Here is a 26422-nt window from a genome sequence, read left to right on the forward strand (position 1 = left end):
GAGCGAGATTGCGCCACTGCACTCCAGCCTGGTGACAGAGTGAGACTCCATCTCAAAAAAAAAAAAAAAGGCCGGGCACGGTGGCTCACGCCTATAATCCCAGCACTTAGGGAGGCCGAGGCGGACAGATCACGAAGTCAGGAGATCAAGACCATCCTGGCTAACACAGTGAAACCCCGTCTCTACTAAAAATACAAAAAATTAGCAGGGGGTGGTAGCGGGTGCCTGTAGTCCCAGCTACTTGGGAGGCTGAGGCAAGAGAACGGCTTGAACCTGGGATTTGGAGGTTGTAGTGAGCCGAGATCGTGCCACTCTACTCCAGCCTGGGTAACAGGGTGAGACTCCGTCTCAAAAAATAAATAATAAATAAAAATAAAAATGGAATACAGTATGTGGCATTTTGTGTCTGGTTTCTTTCATTTAGCATGATGTTTTCAAGGTTCACCCATGTTGTAGCATGTATCAGTACTTCATTCCTTTTTTACGGCTGAATAATATTCTAACACACATGCACGCACACATACACACACCACATTTTTTTTTAATCAATTTATCTGCTGATGACATTTCAGTTGTTTCTACTTTTTGGCAATTATAAATAATGCTACTACAGATATTTGTGTACAAGTTTTTGTGTGGACTTATGTTTTCAATTCTCTTCTGTATACACCTAACAGTCAAACTGCTGCATTATAGGGTAACTCTATGTTTAACTTTTTCATGAACTGCCAGACTGTTTTCCAAAGTAGTTGTGCCATTTTTACATTCCAATTAACTATCTACGAGGGTTCCAATTTCTCCACATCCTCACCAACACTTGTTATTGTCTCCCTTCGTAATTATAGCCATGTTAGTGGGTGTGAAGTGGTATCCATAGTGGTTTTGACTTGTATTTCTCTAATGGTTAATGGTGTGGAGCACCTTTTCAGTGTTTACTGGCTGTGTATCTTCTTCAAATAAATGTATGTTAATTATGTTTAATTTTTTTTTTCTATTTTATCATGTTTTCACATCTTAAAGCTTTCTGGCCTGGGAAGACTGTCCCTGTAAGGGATAACTAATTCCTAAAGATAGTAAACAGCACATCTTGCATATGCCAACCAACCAATCCCAAATCTACAGTCCTAATCATTTCCGTATCTAACTCTTACACACCATGCAAATATTTCTCCTGGTCTAAATCATCCAGGGCCAGGTATCAGGAATCTAGAGATTACTCCTATAGCCCAGAGTCTGCTGGAATTATTCAAACTAGCCAGTCCTAAACTGTAAGTCCTGCCCTGCCTTGCCTTTCCCAAGGAAAACTCAATAAAGGCTCTGGCTCAGGATTTCCTCACACTCCTGCTTCTGCCTCCTGACTGAAACCTACTGTTCCTCCCGTGGCCCTGCATAGCACCCATGCCTCTCTTTTCTAGCAGAACTATGCAAAATATTAAACTTTTCTTTCTTTCTTTCTTTTAAACAATGTTTCTTGCCATAGACCTCTTTGTCTCATCACTCAGTCACCTTTGTAAATTAAAACCTAGGCATGAAACATGTCTGTTCAAAACTTTTGTTCACTTTTTAGTTTGCTTATTTGTCTTTTGTTGAATTGTAAGAGTGCCTAATTTATCCACTTTCATTTTGGCTTTTTGTGCTTTTGGTGCCATATCTAATAAACCACTGCCTAATCCACAATCAAGAGGATTTATACCCACACTTTCTTCTAAGAGTTTTATAACTTTAGCTCTTACATTGAGGTCCTAGATTCCTTTTGAGCTAATTTTTGTATCTGCTATAAGGTAGGAATACAACTTTGTTCTTTGGCATGTGGATATCCAGTAGTCCCAATACTATTCGTTGAAAAGGCTATTCTTTCCCTCATTAAATTGTCTTGAAACCACTGTCAGAAATTCCATTCCACTGACCTATACGTTTATCCTTATGCCAGTACCACAGTCTTGATTACTACAGCTTTGTAGTAAGTTTTGAAATTGGTAAGTGTGAATCTTCCAATGTTGTTCTTTTTTTCCAAAATGGTTTTGATTATTCTGGGTCTCTTGCATATCCATGTGAAATTTAGGATCAACTTGATAATTTCTGCAAAAAATGAGTTGGGATTTTGATAGGAATTAAGTCTGTAATATAATGTAGGGAGTATGGTCAGTACTGTTATCTTAACAACATTAAGTCTTTTAATCTGTGAACATAGATGTCTTTCCATTTATTTGTGTTTTTAACATTTTCTTTCAAAGAGGTCTTATAGTTTTAAATGTACAAATCTTACTGTTCTTTTGTTAAGTATAGTTCAAATATTTGATTCTTTTTTTGATGCTACTCTAAGTAGAACTGTTTTCTTAATTTTTGTTTCCGGATTGGTCATTGTTAGTGTGTAGAAATACAATTTATTTTTGCATATTGATCTTATGTCCTGTAACCCCACTGGAACTCTATTAGTTCTAACAGTGTTTGTTTGGTTTTTTTTTGGCATGGACTCTTTAGGATTTTTGATAAGATCATGCCGTCTGCAAATAAAGATACTTTTACTTCGTTCTTTTCAATTCGGGTGCTTTTTATCTCTTTTTCTTAGCCAAATGTCTTGACTAGAAACTCTAGTAAAATGTTGAATAGAACTGGCAAGAGCAAAAATCTTTGTCTTCTTTCTGATCTTAGGCAGAAAGCTTTCAGTATTTTACCATTAAGTATGTTAGCTATGGGTTTCCCATAGATGCCCTTTTTCAGGCTGAAGCAGTTCTCTCTTATTCCTAGTTTGTTGACTGTTTTTATCAAGAAAGAGTGTTACATTTTTTCAATGTTCTTTTCTACATCTATTCAGATGGTCCTGTGGTTTTTATCCTTTATTCTATTAGTATGATATATTACATTGATTCAGATTCTTGTATGTTGAATTAACCTTGCATTCCTGACATAAGTCCTACTTTGGGGTAGTATACAATTCTTTTGTATGTTGCTGGATTTGGTTTGATAATTTTTGCATCTCTATTCATAAGAGATATTGCTCTATAGTTTTCTGGCAGGTAGTATATTTTTAACTTTACTGGACAGAGTTGAGAATTCGTAATTTTTTATTTGCAGTCCATAATAGTAAAGAGAAGACAAATGAAGAAAACATTTTGGAATCATTAAATAAATCAAAGATGAATGTAAGGAGACAGCAGCCCTCTAATGATGATCATAAGATTTACTGTATAAGGTAAAATCTCAGACTCTGAGTCTTCAGACAACAATATTCTAGGTTATCTTTCTCAAATTCAATAATCTATGAGTTTATGATTTTTTTTTCTTTTTTTTTTTTTGAGACAGAGTCTTGCTCTGTCACCCCGACTAAAGTCAGTGGCGTAATCTCAGCTCACTGCAACTTCTGCTTCCTGGGTTCAAGTGATTCTCATATCTCAGCCTCCCTAGTAGCTGGGATTACAGGCACCCATCACCACATTCAGCTAATTTTTTTTTATTTTTAGCAGAGATGGGGTTTCGCCATGTTGGCCAGGCAGGTCTTGAACTCCTGACCTCTGGTGATCCACCTGCCTCAGCCTCCCAAAGTGCTGGGATTACAGGCATGAGCCATTGTGTCTTTCTAAGGACAAAAAGGAAATATGGTATTTTCATTCAGTCATTCAACAGGAAGAACTTAATCACATACTATTTTGTGATAGGAACCTGGACAATCTCATTTTACTAAGAGGATGTGTGACAGTATTCTTTCATCTTTTATGTTTGTGCAACAGTATTTACTTGATACAAAGAGGTAAATGTCTAATACCTCTACTAAAATGTCTAATAAACTTGTTTTTCATTATCCCTTTATTCATAAATTATTCACAAATGACTTTTGAGAAAAAGATGGTAAATGTTGATTATTTTCCCAGGTATACTGAGGGCAAAGACTTTTATTCTCTGTTCCTCTAAATCTGGGTCAGGTGTCATGGTAAGTTGCCACGGCACTGTGGTGCATACCTTAGCAGAGCATTTGGCACACTGTAGGGTGATCTTTGTTTACCTGGCTGTCTCAGCATTAGTCCGCCAACTCCCTGAGAGCAAGAGCCATATCTCATTTGTATCCTATCCTATGAAAATGCACAAATCTCTAACCTAGACTTCACTCCTCAGCTTCAAACTGATAAGCACAATGGTTCGCTGAGCCTCTGCCCTGATGATCCACTGATCCTCTAAGACTCAACGTGTTCAGAAAATAATTTGTCTTCATCCCATCTCCAAAACTTTTCCCACTTTCTATTTGCTATCTCAATGGTGGCATCATTATTTAGTCACTCAAGCCAAAAACCTAGAAGTCATGTTTAACTCCTTTTCCCGTATGTATTTAATCAACCACCAACTCCAGTTGAACTTATTTACTAAATGTTTAAAATTTTAACACTACCAGTACCCTTGTTCAGGCCTGATCATTTCTCATGTGGAGTACTGCAACCACCTGTTATCTCTTCTTGCCATTAGTCTTTCCCTTTCCAAATCATCCTCCACACAGCTAAAACAGAAATTAGATGACATCATTTGTTTGTGTAAAGCTCTTCTGTTTCCCACTGCATAATTAATAAAGTCTAAATTTTACAGGATGTGACACAAGGCCTTGAATGATCTTATCCTTATCTAACTTTCATTTTCGCCACTCTCAGCCTCACATTTTATGCAACAGCAATACTAAACACTTGATGCTATGTCTTATTTCTATGCCTTTGCTCAGGCTTGTATGACCGCTGTCATTTGCCTCTCTCCCTCGGCAAATCTTATGTACCTTTTACAATTATTTCAACTTATGTATCACTTCCTATGGGAAGCATTTCCTAACCCCGTGCCAGGCTAAAGTTATGTCCTATCCTTCCCACACCTCCATTAATGCACTTATCACAATTATCTGAATTTATCTGAATTATCTATTTCCACAAAATGATAAAGGCTCCTTGAGGAAACAACCATGATTTTTTCACTGGTGTATTCCCAGGACCTAATATAGCAAACCTGTTACATGCTAACACTCAGTAAAAGATCACTGGAAGATTCTATGTATAAATAAACCAGATGAAACGAGATAAAGTAAATGTGCCTTTTTTCAGCAAATTCAAAAGTACATATATATGTTATATATGTAGCTATATATGCCTTGAATAGATACTTCACTAATAGATAGCTAATACGAATGTATTAGCTTATTTTATTATCAAGAAAAACCTGATAGAGGTACTATCAGTATTTCTATTTTACTGAAGCAGAGAGGTTAACTTGCTCAATAATACAAAACTTGGAAATATTGGAAGCTGAATTAGACAAAGCACTCTAAAATAAAGTGTAATGAGATAAGAATAAACTGATTTTCTAAAATGGTTTGAAATTAAGTTGAAATATATTAAACCTAACTACATATAACAAAACACATAAACCTCACAGTGCCAGCCACTAGACTAGGCTGTCACCTGGTCAGGCAGACACCAAAGCTTTTCTGGCACAGTAGTTTTCCAGTTATGCTCCCCAAACACGCAGTGCTTAGAAGGTGTTGCTTTGAGAGCTAACACAAGGGCCAAGCAGAACAACTCCACTTTGTACGATTTCACTTACAGCAACAACAGTTATAAAAAATATGAACGAAATGCTCCTTCTTGACTTATTTTTAGTTTCCAATATAGTCTTTTTCAATGAATGATTGTAAGACCCACTGTCAAATACATACATAGATCATTAGGATTTGTCTGCTGGAAACTCAGTAAATATGTAGTGACAAGCCAAAGTCAAATGCTTAAAGATAGAAATAAGATTTAAATAACGTAACAGTTAGCAAAATACCTCTTCAAGATCAGAGACAGCAAATACTACTTTTTCAATGGTTTCCCCATGAATCTCTAGGAATCTTCTTACAGTGCCTAAGGAAAAGAATAGAAAGATTACTCAATAAATAAAAAATTACTTATACATAAAGAAAAATCAAGCTCTTCAATGTTTTAGTTTTGTAATGGATCACTTCTCACTTCATTCAGCACTCTGCTTAGTAATACCCTATCAGTGAAGCCTGCCCATACTACTTGTATAAAAATTCTGATTTGCTTTCCTCCAGAGCAACTGTGATAGACATTTTATGAAGTTACTTGTGTATTGTTATCCTCCCTGCCCTCTCCGCCTCATTCACTAGAATGAAAGCTCCATAAAGAAGATGCTTTATTGTATTTATTGCTCTATTTCCAATGCCAAGAACAGTGACTGGCCGTAGAAGATGCTGACTCTATACAATTCTCTTTTATCCAGTATATTCTTCTTATTCCCTGGGGCCTCTCTCGGGCCAGAATGATCTAGCACAAGTGTCTTTCCATTCATTCAGTTACAGTATTAGATATCCTACCCAGTCCTTCAGACCCTGACAAAACTCCACAAAACCAAAGCTCAATTATTTTTTTCTTAATTTCTATGTCATCCTAATTCTTCTTTATCAACTTCTAATAACAAGACCTACTGGCCTTTACTTCAGTTCTTAACTCATTGGATCTCTCCCTAGCTTTAGCCCTTAACACACATGTCCTCATCTTTTAAAAATGTTGTCCCCCAGGGTTCTGCCTTCAATATTTTTTATTTTTTTGATATACTTATTCTCCTTAGCTCACTGATGTGCTGGATAGGTATTACCTCAAATGCTGATGGCTCCCAAATCTTTATATTCTTTATTCTGAGGAAAAGACCCAAATTACCTGATGCCTATTAGGTATATCTGCTTAGATAACTCACAGAGACCTCAAATTCAGTGTAGCCAAATTTGACCCCAACAGGTCCAAATCCTGACCGCCATCTTTTTCCGAACAAACCTGGTCCTTTTTACCTACATTCCTTATTTTGGTTACATATCAACATCCAACCAATCATCCAAGCTAGAATCCTGAATTGTCTTTGATGCTTCCTTTACCTCTTCCTTCATGCTGCATTTTCAAATAGTTCCCATGACTTTTAATTCTATTGCTAATATTTCTAACATTTATTCCTTTCTTTTGGCTGCTTTCAGGTTCTCAAGGCTCACACAGACTTTGGTAATAAGCTCTTAACTGCTCTCCTTGCGTCTTTTTTCCGCAAGTCTACATACTCACTGTTGCCTGAGTTATCTTCTCATGTTACCCGAGTTATCTTCTCATGTTACCCTTTTTAATAAACACTGGTGATGCTCTGCACTACTTACAGGTTAAGATTCAAAAACCCTAGCATGACTCTCTATACTCCAACGCCAACTGTCCACTTTCCCCCACTCAGCTCTTTAGTCCTGTTTTCAATTATTCCTCCCACATCTTATGCTTTAGCCAAATCTACTTTGCTGTATTCAAAACATACCACTTACTTTTATGATGCCCTGCCTCTGCTTGCATGTGCCTACCTTTGACTAGAGTACCACTCATCCACCATTCTCTTCTTTTGGTGAACTCCTACTCATTTTTCAAGACCTAGCCAAGAGCCATCTCCACCCTTCTTTATGCCCCTCCTAGAATCTTTTGAACACCCTTCATTTTAAGAATTTCTCACATTTTATAGCTAGACTAAGCTTTTTGAAGACCAAGTATATTTTATATTAATATTACTTTAATTTGGGGCCTAGCACACCTTACGGATGTGATATGCAATCATTCAAAAGTAACTAGTAACTGAATTAACAATTTATGGCTCAGTTACATATTGCCTGCTTTGTTCAACACTGTATCTCAAGAACCTAACAGAGCAAACCTATTTGTTAAAGGACTAAACAAACACTCATAACTCTCCTCCTGTTAGATGACAAATTTACTTTTTATTTTTTCCTCTATTCTGCTTTAATGCTTTTTCAAAAACGAACTTTCAAAAAAAGATTTTCAGCAGGACATGGAGGCTCATGGCTATAATCCCAGCACTTTGGGAGGTGAGGGCAAGACGATTACTTGAGCCTGAGTTCAAGACTAGTTTGGGCAACATAGCGAGACCCTGTGTTTACCAAATTTTTTTTAAAAAATTAGCTAGGTATGGTGACGCATGCCTGTAGTCCTAGCTACCTGGGGGGCTAACAAGGGAGGATCACTTGAGCCCAGGAGGTTGAGGCTGCATTGAGCTGTGTTTGCCCCACTGCACTGCAGCCTGGGCGACAGTGTATGACTCTATCTCAAAAAAATAAATAAATAAATAAATAAATAAATAAAGATTTTCTGTTTCCTATTTATTTGACACCAAGTTGTAATGTTCATGCATAATAGTTTCCCAGAATATAATTATATTATTTCCTTTGGAAGATAAAATACAATACCAAATAGCAACCAAATTGAATTCTCTCAGTGGAATTCATTTAGAAAATTAACTCTGCAAAAGCAGTGAAGAAGACTAATGTCATGACTCTAAGGTTTTAGTACTAAAGGCCAGGCCACGCTCTTCCTTTCAAAGTTTCATCTGTGCACTATACTCTGCAACCAACCACAATGTCCTGTGCTTAAATACCTAGTGAATACCCTATAATTTGTAAGAATGACATCTAGGACATTATAATTCCCCATCTGGAAACACCACGAGAACAAACACCTTCATCTTATTTCTCACCACTGTAGTATTTTGTATACAGCACATAGTAGTCACTTAAATTTTTGTTGGATGAATAAATAACCTGATAAATTTATTTCAATGCAGATATTTCTTTAGGCTTTTTCTGGAGAAAAACAAACTGCACATGAACTAAGAAAAAAAAAGCACGTGTCTTAATATATCTATCAAAAACATATTATTTAGGCTTCAAATGAAATAAATTTTGATAATAGTTTAATAAGAAAGCTTTTGATACTAAGGACTTCGAGTTATATCATTAGATTTGTTCTTGGCCCATATATGTTACAAAAGTGTATAAGCCATTTGTTTTCCAAATGCTTGATAAAGTATTCAAGCAAAAGGCATCATCTTCTGTGTAAGTGTTTGAATGAAATGCTACAGTTTTGCCACTAGATTTAAGGCCTAATAAGTCAAATGTGCCCACTTTTTAAGAGCTGTACATTTCCTTTTTGCTAATTATATTTCTAGAAACTGCTTCATCAAAGTCCCTTATACCCATTATTGATCTTTATCTGCTGTTACTCTCAAAGTTGACCTCTTTCATAGTACTGTATCAAGTGATTTGTCTGGGGCCACAGAGCTAGAGTTGGACTGGTAGAATTAGAACTAAAAACCAGTCTTCTTAACCCCCTATTCAGAACCTTTTCTACAAAATAATGCTGCCTCTTTAAAATAGAATCCTTATGATTACCTTAATAAAAAATAGATATATAAAAGAAGCTATGAGATGATATGACAAGGACTAAGTAAAATCAGAGAATGCAGAGACCAGCCAAAAGCCTTGTCAGGAGCAATTATATCAAGGGAGGAATTTTGCTTTCGTTAGGTACCATTTAGAAGATAGGCATGTAATAACATAGTAGTCTTCCACTGAAGCAGTTCTAACTCAAGCATAATGAATCATCTAGTATAACAGACAGGTTACTAGACCTGGGAGTCAGAAGGTCTGGATATATGCTCCAAGTCTGCATAACCCTCATAACAGGAGAAATTTCTGAGACCTTTTATTTGTACAACGGACACCACACTACCTAAAACACAGGGTTGTTAAGTAAAGTAAGTGGAATTTACTTGTCCCTTTTAAAAATATATATTTCTTGAGCAAGTACCATATGTCAAGCATTCAAGATAAAAAGATAAGATCCCTGCCCCTCAAGCTCAGTCTAATGTAATGTATATAAGCTTAATTATAAAATATACAAATTTACTATAAAATCCTTGAGCAGTTAGAATATTGGTTTTTAAAATAGGTTATAATTAAATAAGACTAAGACTGAACAGATACTCACCCTAAACTCCAGGCTACATAATAATAACTTATACATTCAAATATCTTTTTGGTATTTGTGGATATAAGGCTTTCAGCTCTTCGACTTTAAATTCTAGAGATAACAGGGGCTCTTAAAGATGATTTAGTATAGTTCGTCTCTGAAATGAGAAGTGTTTTCTATAACAGCTGCAACAGATGGTCCTGTAACCTCTGCATGAATGTTCCTAGTGACAAGAAGTTCGCTAAAATACTTTGCTGTTACAGTTAGTACTACTTCAAGTGGGACCAACATTTTCTTCCTTATAACTTGGTCTTAGACCTTGCCTTGTACAGTTGGAGTTCTTATCTACAATCCTGATGAGGATCTGTAAACTTCCTGAAATAACATGCAAATTCTGTATTTATGCACATTTTTCTTGACAAAGGGTCCATAGTGTTCTTTCACCAGATGCTCATCGTAGTTTATGACAATATCCCAAAGAACTGCTGCTTGAAAAATGTAGCACAGAATAAGTCCAAATGAGATTCCTTCAGATATTTGAAGATGGACATCATATTTGCTAAAAGCATGCTCTTCTTTAGAAGAAACACCACTACTGTTTCAAACTGTTTGTCCTCCTGTTTGTCAGTGTCTCATGCAATATGACACACAGAAATATATATAAAACTCAAGATGTGGTCTAAATCTGCATATATACAGTGAGATCATGGACTCTCTTTAGCTGAATGCCATATTTTTATGTGACATACAGGCATTTGGCTCATATTGACTGAGCCCAGTCTTTTGAAAACCTAAATGCAGAATTTTACATTCAAATAGCATGTGTGAATGTGGCTATTTAAACTGCCAAGTGTTATACAAATATGATATCATGAAATCTGACTGCATTTGTTACAGACTGTTAAGATTATTCTAAATTCTGATTTAACTACTCAATGCATTAGCCATACTTTCTAACTTAGCATCACTTTCAAATTCAAGAGGCTAGCTGCTCTGAATCTATTCTGGTTTTGGGGGCCGTCCAATTCAAATCTCATTCTTTGCTCAATTAAATTCTGTTAAATTAAAAAAATTAATAGGCAAGTCTTCTGACCCGTTATTCAAATGGATAAAAATGCCAACCTGAAAAAGTAAATTGAGAGCTCTGCAACTTGCCAATAAAAACTTCCCTCCAGGGAGCCACAATCACTTAATCAATGAATATTCTTTGGCTGTAACTATTTAATGATTAAAAAAAAAAAAAACCTTTTTTTTTTGAGATGAGGTCTCACTATATGTTGCTCGGGCTGGAGTGCAGTGGCTATTCATAGATGCAATCACAGCTCACTGCAGCCTTAAACTTCTGTCCTCAAGTGATTCTCCTGCCTCAGCCTCCCAAGTCGCTGGAATTACAGGTATAAGCCACCATGCCCAGAATTTAAAAAATTTTTAAGATTCAATTCATGTACAGCATCTCTGATATTACTTACGAAGTGCTATGTGTGTTGCATCCTCTAAAGGATAACCACGTTTTGCAGAATTGATGACACAGAAGCCAACAGAAGACATTGACTGCTCTCTGCAACAAAGGGAAAACACAAAAATTGCACTAGAAATATCAGTAATACATACACAACAATATATAAGTAATTTCAAAATCTAGCTCAACTTCTCCTTTCCTCCCTCTTCAACAAATCTACTATAATAGCTAACCCAACTGTACCACTCAATAATTCTATTCATATACAATTTAATTGCACTCTTTGGAGGATATATATCTCACATAAAAACTGAATAAAAAATGGGAAAAGGTTAAATTCTCAAGTCACTCAAATCTATCCCATTTATCCCGCTAAGTTTGAAAAGATAATTCTATTGTCAGGGTCCTCCTAAATCACCTAAGTCCCTCAAAATTTGACTTCCACTGCTAGGTTTTTAATCTTTAAAAACTGGGGCCTTTATCTTTAAAAACTGGGGCCTTTAACAATGTATGATATGCTATGTCCAGAAAATGAGTAGACCATACTTTGCTAGTTGAAGTACGTTTCTGTAGCAGCTATAAAGGGAACTCTCAGCTGCTGTGCGATAGCGGCTTTTATATTTAGGTCCCACTGTGTGAATGATGAACCGGGCAGCTAGATTGAATCCTTTTGTCAATTTTGCTTCACCTGTTCGGCACCCTGAAAACAATGGAAACACACATAAGTTTGGATGTGTTAGGAAAACAGAAACAAAAACAAATGAAAGCATGAAACAGAGAAAGTATTGAGAACTTTGAGAAATTTCAGTTAAAAATACAGACTGAACACAAGCATTTATCTCTGTTACTTCTGTTCCCAAAATGACAGTGAAGCAATACAATAGGTATAAGCACAGAGACAGATAAAGAGAATGAGAAAGACCATGAAGCAGATAAGCATCATCAAAATTTTGGAAGGTAGAATGTCAACTGACTAGTAACTGACTCAACAGAGCAGACAAACCTAATTGCTTGCAGAAATGAGATAACTAATACGAAGCAAGTTGATCTGTACTGAAAAGCAGTGTTGGATACAAGACAGACTGCTTTGATTCAAATCCTGAGTTCCTGTCAAGACACTCTGGGCAGGGGCTTAGCCTTGTTACAACCCAATTTCCTATTTAAGAGGGATACTAGTAGTACTTACTTCACAGGATTAAACGAGTTACTATATGCAAAGTGCATACATGCATAAGAAATTATTGTTATTATTACTAGAGAATGCTAAAAAGGCTCAGAAATTGGAGCCCTAAGTACTTGTAAAGGCTATGCTGTCAAGTGGGATGTGGTGCTAAAAAGAGGAGGTCCAGTTAAAAGTTTGTATAAAAACAGTCAAATCTGCAACAACCCCTCCCCCAGCCAGCACAGTAAGGTGATGATTTTTTTTTTTTTTTTACCACCAGAGCAGCAGGGAAGAAGTTTATTCTCTGGAGATGCTCAACTAGAGAGTTTCTGGATTCCAGAACCCCAGGCACAGCTGAAAAGAGGGGATTTAGTTAAAGTGTTATACTTAACAGTGAAAGGTCTAGCCCTCTGCCCCTAAATGGCTTTCAAAACAGACATCTAGGCTTACACTCCTGGAGGATTCCTTTCCAAGAAATTGAGAGGCCCAAACCTAAAGGACCTACAGATAACTGGGGAAGTTCCCCAATAAAATAACAGGCAGGAGTCCCATTCTGTCATATGCTTCAAGACCCACCAGGCAATAACCGTTGCCCACTGTTATGAACTGAATGCTTCGGTTCCCTCAAAATTCATATGTTAAACCCTACCCCCTAATGTGATGGTATTAGGAGGTAGGGTCTTTGGGGGTAATTAGAATTAGATAAGCTCATGAGGGTAAAGCTTTCATGAATGAGATCTGAATCCTTGTAAGAGTCTCCAGAGAGTCTGCTCCCTCTCTCTGCCACGTGAAAATACAATGAAAACTCAGCAGTCTGCAGCCAGGAAGACAGCCCTTAGCAGAACTTGACTATGCTGGCACCCTGATCTTGGATTTCAGTCTCCAGAAATTTCTGTTCTTCCTAAGCCATTCAGCCTAGGATACTTTGTTATAGCAGCCTGAAATGACTTAGACACCCATGTGTACAAAGTTTCCCATGAACTTTTCAGTTCTTCCATCTTAAATCCAGCTAACACTTAAGGATCACCAGAAAGTGAGAAAAGCCTCTAACAAAAACTAAAAGGGGAGACTAAACACATGCTCAAGAAATAGACAACACAGGGGAAAAAAAACTTAAAATCAGAATGTCATAAAAACAAACTATTCAGAGAACAGGAAATGGCACTTATGTAACTGCTATAGCCAAGTGAAAAATATGACAGCAGAAATGAAAAGTTCAATAGAAGGGTTAAAACTAAACTTGAAGGAATCCAGAAAATAAAACAAAAATAAATTGAAAATAAGAGATAACAGATGAGAAAACTGAAGAATTAAACAAGAAAATACAACATCTAATAGGATTTCTTCAGAGAGAACAGAGAATACAGAAGGAAGGAAATTATTAATGAAATAAAACAAAAAAATTTCCCAGGATGGAAAGACATCAGTTTCTAGATTCAAAGAGCCCATAAAACACCCAAACCATATGAAGGCAAATCCCTGTAAAATTTAAGAGCACTAAGAAACAAAGATGAGATCAGAAGCTTTCCAGAAAGAAACCAGTAACATACAAACAATCAGGGATAAGAATAGCACAAGACTTCTCAACAGCACTAATCAAAGTAGAAAACAAAGGAGTAGTGCCTTCAAATTTCTAGAAAATGATTTCCAAACTAGAATTCTATTTCTAAGCAAATTACCAATTAAGTACGAAGGTGGAAGTAAAATCTCAGTAGTTTTACCCTATTGCATTCTTCTTTAAAATCTCCTGGTAGATTTACTCACAAAAATGAGAGATCCAATCCACCAAACAGAAAAAAGGATTTCCCAGGATGATGTTAAAAAAAAAAGTTCCAGAACAGTAACTGTGCAGCAGGCACAGAGAACAGTCTAGAGAGGAAAGGGAGGATGGAGGGTTCCAGGAGGGACCTTGGCAAGAAAAAAATGGAATGTAAGGGTCAAACTGTTATCTTCACTCCAATTAAGAGAGCCATCTTAATATGAGTAACAGTCCACTAACAGGTCTAACATGATACAACATTAAGCAGACAACACAACATCACCTATGAAATATTTTAGGCAAAACTTGACTCCATTAGACATAATGTCAAGTTTATAGGAAATACAAACTAAATGGCACCTCAAGTAAATCAGACAAATCTAGAAGGAGGAATACTGTGAAAAATAAGTGGCCTTGTTCAGTCAACAAGTCAGTGTCATAGACAGGGGACTGTGCTGGATTACAAAATACCACACACACAGAGACAAATTAATAAACATAACAAAAAGATGCAATGTCTGGTCCTGGATTGGATACTGGTTTGGATAAAATAGCTGCTGCAAAGGACATTTTTGGATCAGCTGGAAATTTTAAATATGGTCTGGGTAGTAGATGTAATTTCAGAAATTAAAAGGTGGAATTCATTTGCTGAAGAAGGCAAATTGCAGAATATGTACATGATTACCTTATTTTGAGAGTAGCATACACATAATTATTTTGGTATCAAAAGATATAAGAATGTATGTATACATCCACACCCACATACAGGTTCATACAACAAACAAACCTCACATAGGTTTAGTTTCATAAAATTTCTAAATTCACAAAGTGAATATAAGACTGATTTTTTTCAGGGAGGAAATTTAGGTACAATAAGCCAACCCTGCCTATTCTAATTTTAGTATTGATGCTTAGATACTAACTGAATTGACATATGGTTTTATGTATTTTCCTATCAAGGATTCTAGGAACACACCATGATTATCATTCTCCCTCTTCAATATGATCCTTTTTCAAGTATTTGAAAATAAGTACTGTTTCCCCCAAATATTCTCTTCTCTATGCTAATCCTAGCTCTTTAAATAATGTGGTTTCCACCATGTTAGTAATTTTCTATTAGGGGTACCCCAACTTATAGTAGTAATAAAAGACATACAGTTCTTGTCCATATGGAGTTTACAGTTTAATGGGGATACAGTTATCACAAGACAATTTACAGGATTACAATTGTGATAAGCCAACAAGAGAGAAGTACTGCAGGCTGGCAGCACATACTATGGGTGGTCTGATCTATTCTGAAGTAAAAAGAAATAGTGCTTTCAGGAAGAGATACAAGCCAAGACTTAAGAATAAGGGTTGACAACTGAGAGAAAGAACAACATCAAGTGCAAAACTGGAAAGGAGCTTGTGACAAGGTAGTGAGAAGAGATCAGTTTGGCTCAAGCATGGTAAGGAAAGGAAAAGGGGGCATGGGATAAGCCTGGAGAAAAGTGAGTAAGATCTTGCAAGGACATGGGGATCAGTTTAAGGAGTTTAGAATTTAAGTTTAATGAGAGGCCACTAAATAGTTTGAAGTAAACGAACAATAAGGGGTTTACACTTACTGGTTGTGTGTGGACAATGGATTTAAGAAACGAAGAATGGATGTAAGGAGACCAGCTGGGAGAGAGGATATGGCTGTAGTCTAGGCAGGGAATGATGGTTGCATATGCTAGTTGCTGGAGACAATGGTGACAGACAGAAATAGATTTAAGATTAATTTAGGGCATGGTGATAGACTTTATGTGAGGGATAAGAAAAAGCGAAGTGTTAATCCTAAGGTTCCTTGAATGAAAAATGGAATGGGAGGCTGGGCATGGTGGCTTACGCCTGTAATCCCAGCACATTGGGAGGCCGAGGCAGGCAGATCACTTGAGGTCAGGAGTTCAAGACCAGCCTGGCCAGCATGGTGAAACCCCATCTTCACTAAAAATACAAAAATCAGCCAGGTATGGTGGCACACACCTGTAGTCCCAGCTACTCGGGAAGCTGAGGCAGAAGAATCACTTGAACCTGGGAGGCGGAGGTTGTGGTGAGCCAAGATCACACCACTGCACTCTAGCCTGGGTGACAGAGCAAGACTCTGTCTCAGGAAAAAAAAAAAAAGAAAGAAAAAGAAAAATGGAATGGAAAATAATGCCATTTTACTGAGACAGAAAGTGTTAATCAAATGATGTTTCCCTATCATTTTAAACTTACTGCAAAACTTTAATATTCATCTCTGTTAATTTTTTCATTTTTTGGCTTATACTTCCAGTCACATGAAAATCTTTAGTCTATCATCCAGTATCTCCTGTTACTCTTTTCAGCTTTCTATCATCTAGAAATTTGGAGTCATGCTTGTTTTTATTAAGTCATTAATAAAAATGTAAAAAGGGGATAGGATTAAGTATGCAGCCCTTTAGTAATAACCTAAAGGTTGGCACTGATTCATTAAACAGACAACTGGGGCCTAATAACTAACACCTAATAACTAATACTTGTTGAACACTTAGGATGTGCTTAGCACCTAATGTCCATTATTTAATTTAGTCTTCAAGATATTAGTTTTTTCCATCTCCAAATATTTATTAAGCTCTTACTATATGTCAGGAACTGAGGTAGGAACTACTATTACCATCCCCATTTTAGAGATGAGGAAGCTCAGACTCAGAGGTGAAGTAACCAGTCTTAAGTCACACAGTTATTAAAGAGCAGAGTTATAACATGAATCTCAGCTTGGAGATGCTCAAACATGCAGTTTAACATTGAGGTTTTACTTGTATATTTGTGTTAAATTTTCTTATATTCTTTATTATCCATAAGTCTAGCTCTTATGTGTATGTAAGCATACACACATGCCATTAGGAATTTTTCCAGACCAGCTTCTCTGTTCCTTTCAGCAAAGAACTTCTCAGTATTATCTTCAATATCCTTTCTAGTTTCTACATGTTCTTCATGGTATCTTGTTTTGCAGTTCAGTTACGGCCATTTCCCCCACTCTGTCCTTACAGTCAAAATTCAGTTTCTGGATCAAAAAATGCAATTCTTCCCATTCTATCCCTTCTTTCATAGAGCCAGCACTTATCAGTATTCCTGTTCAAGTTCTAATATTTTTATTAGGTTAGAAACCAGTTGTCAGTGTTAAATGATAGAAGGGAAGGAAAGCAAGATTTCATATAGGTTAACTTTGCTGTTTACATTTTAAGAAACATTGCTGTATTTCATAAATAGTTTTTATACAATGGGAAGATTGAATTTCACAGTATTTCATTTGGGCACAAATAACAAAGGGATGCAAGCTCGGTAATTTAACAGTTTTTCAGTTCACGAGGAGAGTCATCTCACAAAGCTTTTCTTGCATGTTTTGTGCAAGAAAATATGCAGCCAAGAAAATGCTACCAAAGACACAGCTACAGTGATTGTCATTTAAAATTCAGGACAGGACAAAGAAGTTTTACTGGTAGTAAATTCTCAGGACTCAGTTTTTAACACATTTCAAAATGTAATGAATTTTGTTAAAATGGAGCTTTCAAAAGCAGTTTTTATTTAGTTTTAACAAAAGAAAAACAGCTACATCTACAAAATTTTCCCACAAAACATGCCTCTTTAAGGTGGAGGACATCAAAATGAATGTTTTCTAAGCAATAATATATGAAAGAAAATTCACTCACCTTTAAGTTTCTGGAGATCTTCCTTCAAATCAGGCCCTGCAAGCATGAAGATACTTTCTGACACAGGATTCTTATCTGTGAGACTTTCATTGCTGGTATTCACAATGGCTGTACAGTTCAGTAATGCCACATCTCCTTTCCTGAAGAAACAATAAAGAATGAACAAGTGTGGGGAAAAAGAAGAAAAGAAACCTAGTTTCTAATTATTTCAAAACATTTTATCCTTGTCTTTTTCAAAATGTTGGTTTTGCTAGCTCACAAGCTAAGCAATAGTAGAAAAGAAATTTCTGACTTAAAAAACAATCTGGCATCTTAGATCTTTAATGCAATTGTTATAACCCTGAAACTCACAAAACCACCATGTTTAGAAATAGCAGCATTACTTATTATGGCCAGAGAGTGGAAACAATCCAAATATCCATCAACTAACGAACTGATACATGTGGTATATCCATACAATGGAATATTATTCAATCCTAATAAAGAATGAAGTACTGGCCGGGCACGGTGGCTCATGCCTGTAATTCCAGCACTTTGGGAGGCCGAGGCAGATGGATCATGAGGTCAGGAAATCAAGACCATCCTGGCTGACACGGTGAAACCCCATCTTTATTAAAAATACAAAAAATTAGCTGGGCATGGTGGCAGGCACCTGTAGTCCCAGCTACTCAGGAGGCTGAGGCAGGAGAATGGTGTGAACCTGGGAGGCGGAGCTTGCAGTGAGCCGAGATCACGCCACTGCACTCCAGCCTGGGCGACAGAGCAAGACTCCTCAAAAAAAAAAAAAAAGAATAAAGTATTGATTTGTACTATAATATAGATGAACCTTGAAAACATTATGCTAAGTCACTAAGAAACACAAATTTTATTGTATTCATTCCATTTATATGAAATGTTCAGAATTGGCAAATCTGTAGAGACAAGAAAGTAGATCAGTGGTTGCCCAGAGGGATTAAGGAAAAATGGGGAGTGACTGCTAATGGGGCTTTGGGCTGATGAAAATGTTCTAAAATGGACTGTGGTGAGGGTTATGCAACTCTATGAATATATTAAAAATCACTAGATTGTGCAATTTGAATTGATGAATTATATTGTATATGAATAGTATTTCAGTAAAGCAGTTTTTTAAAGCAATGAACTACTACTGATACACACAACACAGATGAACTTAAATCCATCATTCTGCTGAAAACAGACCAAAAAGCACACAATTCAATTTAAATAAAACCCTAGAAAATGCCAACTAACCTATAGTGACAAGAAGATCAGTGGTTGCTTGGGGATGGGGAGGGAGGGAAGGGCAGGAAGGAGGAATTACAAAGGAACAGAAAAAAAAACTTTTGGAGGTGACAGGTATATTCACTATCTTGACTGTGGTAATGGCTTCAAGGATGTATTAACAGAAGTCAAAACTTATATTGTATACTTTAAATATGTAGCTTATTAAATGTCAATTATACCTCAATAAAGTCATATACGTATACGCAAAGCTGTATTTCAACAATGCTAGGGCTTTAAAAAAGAGGTTAGAATAAATTATGAGAAAGTGTTATCTCCTCATGATATGATGTAATCAAAAAATTACCAAAGAACCACTTTTCCATTGACGTCCTTATTATAAAGAAAAGGTGATCGAACAGTGTCTTCCTGAAATATTTCAGCTGTAGTATCAGAGGAATTTAATTCATCTTGGCATGAGTCACCCCAGCTTGGTAGTGTATCCACATCCACAAACTGGGAAGGTGCACCTAAGGGATCCATGGAATGGGAACTTTGATTTGTCTTTTCCCAAAATCCTCAGCAATTCAATATTCACTGGAGACTTTAGCTTTAAGAGAAAAGAAAGAATCACTTTAATAGAGAAGCACAGATATTACTTGAATTCTATTAAAGCAGTAAACAAAATTCCACTGTGAAATATCCCAATAGTATATTGTGTGATTATAGCCACTTAAAAAGTCCATTAAAAACAATGGACAACAAAGAATTGCTACAGAATTTCTAAAACAGGATTAAAGAGTGATTATTTAAGCATAAATTCTTTTCAAAGAATTACAGCCATTAAAATAATCACAGGCCCACCAATTCTACTTTCCAGAAACAGGACTATTCATTCAACATTCACTGAGTGCCTACTATTGAAAAAAAAAAAAAAAGTAATAGATGCTGCAAGAGATACAAAGATAAACCATATGTATAATTTAAAGTCTGATGATAATGTGGAGGATGTACTGAGTAAGACAAAATGAAAAGCTGGGAGGTTACTGCAATCAAGTAGTAAGAGATGATAAAGGTTTCAACTAGGAAAGGAGATACAGAAGGAGGCAAACATTTAAGAGGCAAAATACAAAGGAAGGATGAACAGGAGTTGACAATTTACAGGATATGGTGTGTGAGACAGTGATATGGTAGGTGGCTGGTGGTACTGAAATACAAACATTAGAAGAGGAGGGTGTTGGAAGACACACAGCGTCAAGTACTAGAGAGAAGCAATGGGAAATTCTTTGTTGCTAGAGAAAAGGAGAATCAATTTGCCTATGAGTCAAACATCTATTTCAGTAAAATGGTATATTCATTCATCGAATAAATCTTTGTATTGTGTCACTGCACTCCAGCCTGGGCAACAAGAGCAAAACTCCGTCTAAAAAAAAAATATTTGCAAGCATCTATTATGTGTTAAATACTATTCTAGGCACTGGGCACACACTGGTGAATAAGAGCAAGTCCCTGCCCTTCAGGAGCATATGTTTCCATGGAGAAGACAGAAGATGACAAATGATAAAGAAACAAGCGGGTATCTAACAGAATGACTAGAGAAGTAAGCATTATGAGAGAACAGGTAACATCTCAGTAGAAAGATACAATGAGAGAGCAACCACATGAAGCTCTGGGAGATGTTTCAGGCAAAGGAAATGGCAAGTGCAAAGGCCAAATAGGCAGGAAGGATCTTGGTATATTACAGGAGGAGCAAGGAGGCCAGTTTAGGAAAAGCAGAATAAGCTAGGTAATGAGTGGTAGGTGATGAGGTTGGTAAGAGAGGGAAAAACCAGAGGATACTGTTTGTAAACTATGGTAAGAAGTTTAGATCTTATTCTAAATATGAGGGATGCTATTAGAGGATCTTGATCATGGTAATGATTAAATATAAATAATATTTGAAAAGAATACTGTAGCTACAATGAAACTGAGATGGGGCAAGAGTAGATGCAGAGATCAATAGAAAATGACTGCAATAATTTAGGTGAGATGGTAGTGATGAGAAATGTTAGATTTGGAATGTATTTTGAAGGTGGTGTCAACAAGACTTAAGAATATAGACAGTAGGGAGAAAGAGCAGAACCAAAGATAACTTCTGGATTACTTGCTTACACAATTGAGTAAATGTTATGCTATTTACCGAGAAGGGAAAAACTGGAGTAGGTTGTAGGGTAGAGTGATAACCAATGGTTTTTTTTTCTTATGTCTTTTTGGGTGTGCTACATTTGAGATGCTCATTCTATGACCAAGTGTTTATGTCAAACATGCAAATTGGTTATATGAGGCTAGAGCTCACAGAAGATGCGGCTAAAGATATAAATTTGGAATTCTCAGCATATGGATGGTATTTAAAGCTATGGAAACTGGACAAGATAGCCTAGAGAGTAAATGCAAATAGAGAAAACAGATCCAAGGACTGAGTCCTACAACAAAACTTAGAGGCTGGAAAGAGGACAAGTCAGAAAGTGAGAGAGAGAAGGAATGCTAAGAAAGGAAGGTAAACCAGGAAAGCATGGTGGCCTAAAAGCCAAGTGAAGAAAACATTTCAAGCAATACTTGAGAAGTATCAGTTAAATGATACTGAAAGGTTGAATAACAGGACTAATATCAAGGGAACATGCCCCCGATAATTCAATATTATTTCATGTAGGTTCTTTTCTATTTCCCTAAGTGTTGGCCGGTCTGAGAAATAAAGGGAAAGAGTACAAAAGAGAGAAATTTTAAAGCTGGGTGTCCAGGGGAGACATCACATGTTGGCAGGTTCCATGATGCCCCCCAAGCCACAAAACCAGCAAGTTTTTATTAGCAATTTTCAAAAGGGGAGGGATTGTACGAATAGGGTGTGGGTCACAGAGATCACATGCTTCAAGGGCAACAAAAGATCACAAGGCAGAAGGTCAGGGTGAAACTAGAATCACTAATGAACTTCCATGTCCCGCTGTGCACGCATTGTCAGGGTTCAAGAGCAGAGAACCGGTCTGACTAGAATTCGCCAGGCTGGAATTTCCTAATCCTAGCAAGCCTGGGGGCGTTGCAGGAGACTAGGGCATGTTTCATCCCTATCTACACCTGCATAAGGCAGACACTCCCACGGTGGACATTTCAGAGGCCTCCCCTGGGAATGCATTCTTTTCCCAGGGCTGTTAATTATTAATATTCCTTACTGGGGAAAGAATTCAGTGATACTTCTCTTATCCGTTTTTGGTAATAAGAGAAATATGGCTCTGTCCTGCCCTGCCCACAGGCAGCCACACTTTAAGGTTATCTCCCTTGTTCCCTGCATCGCTGTTATCCTGTTCTTTTTTGAAGGTGCCCAGATTTCATATTGTTTAAACACACATGCTCTACAAACAATTTGTGCAGTTAACGCAATCATCACAGGGTCCTGAGGTGACATACATCCTCAGCTTATGAAGATGACAGGATTAAGAGATTAAAGACAGGCATAGGAAATCACAAGAGTATTGATTGGGGAAGTGATAAATGTCCATGAAATCTTCACAATTTATGTTCAGAGACTGCAGTAAAGACAGGCATAAGAAATTATAAAAGTATTAATTTGGGAAACTAATAAATGTCCATGAAATCCTCACAATTTATGTTCTTCTGCCATGGCTTCAGCCAGTCCCTCCATTTGGGGTCCCTGACTTCCCACAACACTAAGAACTGATTAATGGGTTTGGTAAGTTGGAGGTTGTTGGTAACATGAAATAAATAAGGGCAGACAGATGATCAGGGAAAGAAAGTTGGCATGTGAACTTTCTCCCCCCCAAATAAATGTGCAGTTTAATGAGCTATTATGAAGGGAACACCCCTAGAACCACCACCAAAGTCAGGAGATAGAACTGTGCAGGCACCCAGAAGTAGCTCCATGTGATCTGTCATGATCTCAACCCCTTCCTGTCCCCCAAAGTAACTACTATCAGAACTTTTAATCTTTTTCTTATATACTCATATAGCCTTTTCACCTAAGTGTGCATCCCTAGAAACCATAGTTTAATATTAGCCATTTAAGACATTTTAATGTATATCTTAAATCTCTTTTAATCTACAAGTCCCCCATCCAACCTTTCCTTTTCTGTAAAATTTATCTGCTGAAACTGTAGTGTCCCACAGTCTGGATATTGTTGCTTGCATATTCATGCATAGTTCAATAAGTTTCTCTGTTATTTGAAAATTTCTTGTTAGTAGTCAGTTCTGGCAAGATTATATGAGATGGTGTATCTTTCATCAGGAGGCACATAATTTCGAGTCTCTCTTCTTTTCTCTTAGTTCTTTCTCTTTTTTAACTTTTAGGTTCAGAGGTACATGTGCAGGTTAGTTATGTAGGTAAATTGCATGTCACAGGGGTCTGGTGTACAGATTATTGCATCTCCCCAGTAATAAGCATAGTACCTGATGGGTAGTTTTTTGATCCTTTCCCTCTTCCCACCTTTCACCCTCAAGTAGGTCCTAGTGTCTGTTGTTCCCTTCTTTGTGTCCACGTGTTCTCATTGTGTAGCTCCCACTTATAAGTGAGACCATAGGTAGGTGGTTTTCTGTTCCTGCATTAGTTTGCTTAGGATAATGGCCTCCAGCTCCATCTATGTTGCTGCAAAGGACATGATCTCATGAAGTTTTTTGAGAAGTTTTTCAGTATGGTTTTCACGTTTGTTGTCAAACAAAACAAGCATGCCCTTCCACAATACATTCCGTGATGTTTCCTGCTGAGAGACATGGGATGCTAATTGGAACAAAACATGGATCTAGTGAAATATGCTAATTCCTAAATCAACACTGCGGAACAGGAAATGTGATCATTTATATAACAATTTCAGAAAGGCCTTGTAGGTTAAACAATGATAAATTTGTATGAGAAGACTATTCTTATTTGACACTAAATACACCTTTGAAATTACTTTGAAATAAAGAAATTAATTTTACCTAAAAGTTGGTGTTTAGTCCATCAAATTGGTCTTTCCACAAGTTTTGTTGATCTGTTCATAAGTATTCAGACTTGAAATAGACAAGCTGAACAGAGGACAAATGAAGACTATATACTCTTCTATCATGGTTAAATTGCCTCATGCTCAATGGAATGACGCTTGACAAAAGTTCATAATTTCAAAAAATTACCTGCAGATTTTTTATGACAATGAGTCATTGTCATAAAAAAGCTCTTAGCTATAATCTAAAAACAAATCCATTAAACACAAACACAGTTTTCAGTTTGTAAACTTGAATGCCAACTTTCAGGACAAAATTGCTTTTTTAAGATAACTTTTCTTTCTGACTCTAAGTAATACATGCTTACAGAACATTTGAAAAATACCAAATCGGTTGGACGCAGTGGCTCACACCTGTAATCCCAGCAGTTTGGGAGGCTGAGGCGGGGAGATCACTTGAGCCCAGGAGTTCAAGACCAGCTTGGGCAACATAGTGAGACCCCATTTCTACAAGAATACAAAAAACTAGCCAGGTGTGGTGGCATGCATCTGTAGTCCCAGCTACTCAGGTGGCTGAGGTAGGAGGATTGCTTGAGCCCAGGAGGCAGAGATTGCAGTGAGCTGAGATCACACCACTGCACTCCAGCACGGTGACAGAGCAAAACCCTATCTCAAAAAAGAAACAAAACAAAAAGAAGGAAAAGAAACCAAAATTAAGGGGGAGGAAAAAATTCCTCAACTTTTGATGTAGTTACTACCTTTTTCTGTGATAGGTAAAATCATACTGGTACAATTTTGAATCCAGTTTCTTTAGTATTTTAAGGTAAATATTTCCACACACAATTACACAGTGAGGCAGAGACAGTATGGTTCGATGTGAGAATTTGGACTCTGTTATCATAGGGTCTGAGTTTGGATCCAGGACCATCATCTAATAGTTTTGTTATCTTTGACTCTGAACCAGTTTTTTAATTTCTAAAATAAGGGTAATTCTCCTAAGATTATTGTGAGCATTCAATGAGATAACTGGTGTCAAAACTGCATAGGAGAACAATTACCTTAACTTCCCTCCAACTCAAAATCATTCACTGTTTCCAACTTCCAAGTGACGATTTGAGGGTATATTCCACACGTTTAAGCCCACCAAATCACTTTAATTTAATCAATTTCCTTCATTTGACCATTTCTCCTCTTAAGAGAGTGTTACAACATAAATTCTCCTTTTACAATTACATCTTGGCTTTTTCCTTCCTCTCAATCCTCCTGTTCTCAAAAAGGTTTTCCTCCTTTATTTCTTCTACTTCATTTCTTCTTCAGAATACTAAACTCCTTTTTACCACTTGACTTTTTAAGAGTAATTTGTTTTGTAGCTCTACTTCCTCTTCGTACATTTGCCCAACCTACTGCAGTTTTGCTTCCGCTCTACAGCTATACGAAAACTACTCTATTCAACAATAACTTCCCAAATGTCAAATCCAAGAATTAATCCAATTTTATCCACATTTATTACTGATCATTTCCTCCTCAAAACTCTATTATCTTCTTTGACATTATACCCTGGTGGTTCTCCTATATCCCTGATCATACCTGGTCAGTAGAGTTTGTTGGATCCTTTTCCTAGCTTTTAAGTAATTGTGACCCACAAGATATTGGATGTTAAATAAGTAAAAGTAATGCTCATAGCTCTTATTGTAGGACAAAATTTAATGGCATTTTATGAAGTGTCACAGTATTTAACAGAGGTTGAATTCTTTTTCAACTCCATCTCTAAACAGAATTGATGTTTCTCACCAAAAAGAGGTTTGAATCTCTCCTTCCCCTAAACACATATACACCTTAGTAATACATACAGTAAATGGAGCCACAAACCCAAGCTAGGCAGAAAAACCTGATCCCTGAGAGAACAGTGGTTTTTAACATTCTCAAGGTCACAGGCCCCTTTGAGAATCACATGAAAGATACAGATCCTTTCACTCCCCAGAATATTTGTATATGAGCTCATACAAGTAGATTTGTAAATAAATTTGAATTAGAATCTCAGTGATAGAATGCAAACAGATTGCTTAAGTGACAAAGGGAGGAGGAGAAGGCTCCTACACCCAGTAATCTATAGCCACAGCCAGAATTTTTGCTAACATTAAAGGAGAGCAAGACTGTCCACTGAAAATCAGTTGATCAGCTCTGTACTTTTAATAAGTTCATAAACAAACACTAAGCCCTAGTTAAAAAAAAAAAGGCTCTTGAAGCAAGACATTAATTTCCAAGGATCAAAAAGTCTACATGGGACAAACAGAAGATTCCATAATGAATCAAATCTATTTCCATATCCATATGATCTTCAGTACTTTAGTGA

At 36.8% G+C, this 26422-nt stretch overlaps 1 protein-coding gene across 2 annotated transcripts in view; it reads right to left on the reverse strand.

The window, feature by feature from the left end:
- GDAP2 (ganglioside induced differentiation associated protein 2) overlaps positions 1–26422 on the reverse strand; it is a 66137-nt gene that overhangs the window by 37225 nt on the left and 2490 nt on the right. For both annotated transcript variants that reach the window (NM_017686.4, NM_001135589.3), the window contains exons 2-6: positions 19473–19715; positions 17888–18027; positions 11821–11974; positions 11285–11373; positions 5797–5873 (exon numbers count right to left, since the gene is read on the reverse strand). In NM_017686.4, coding sequence (NP_060156.1) covers positions 5797–5873; positions 11285–11373; positions 11821–11974; positions 17888–18027; positions 19473–19648 — 636 coding nt within the window. In that variant the 5' untranslated portion in view covers positions 19649–19715. The remainder of the gene's footprint in view (positions 1–5796; positions 5874–11284; positions 11374–11820; positions 11975–17887; positions 18028–19472; positions 19716–26422) is intronic.

Source organism: Homo sapiens, chromosome 1, assembly GCF_000001405.40.
Source record: "Homo sapiens chromosome 1, GRCh38.p14 Primary Assembly".
NCBI lineage: Eukaryota > Metazoa > Chordata > Mammalia > Primates > Hominidae > Homo > Homo sapiens.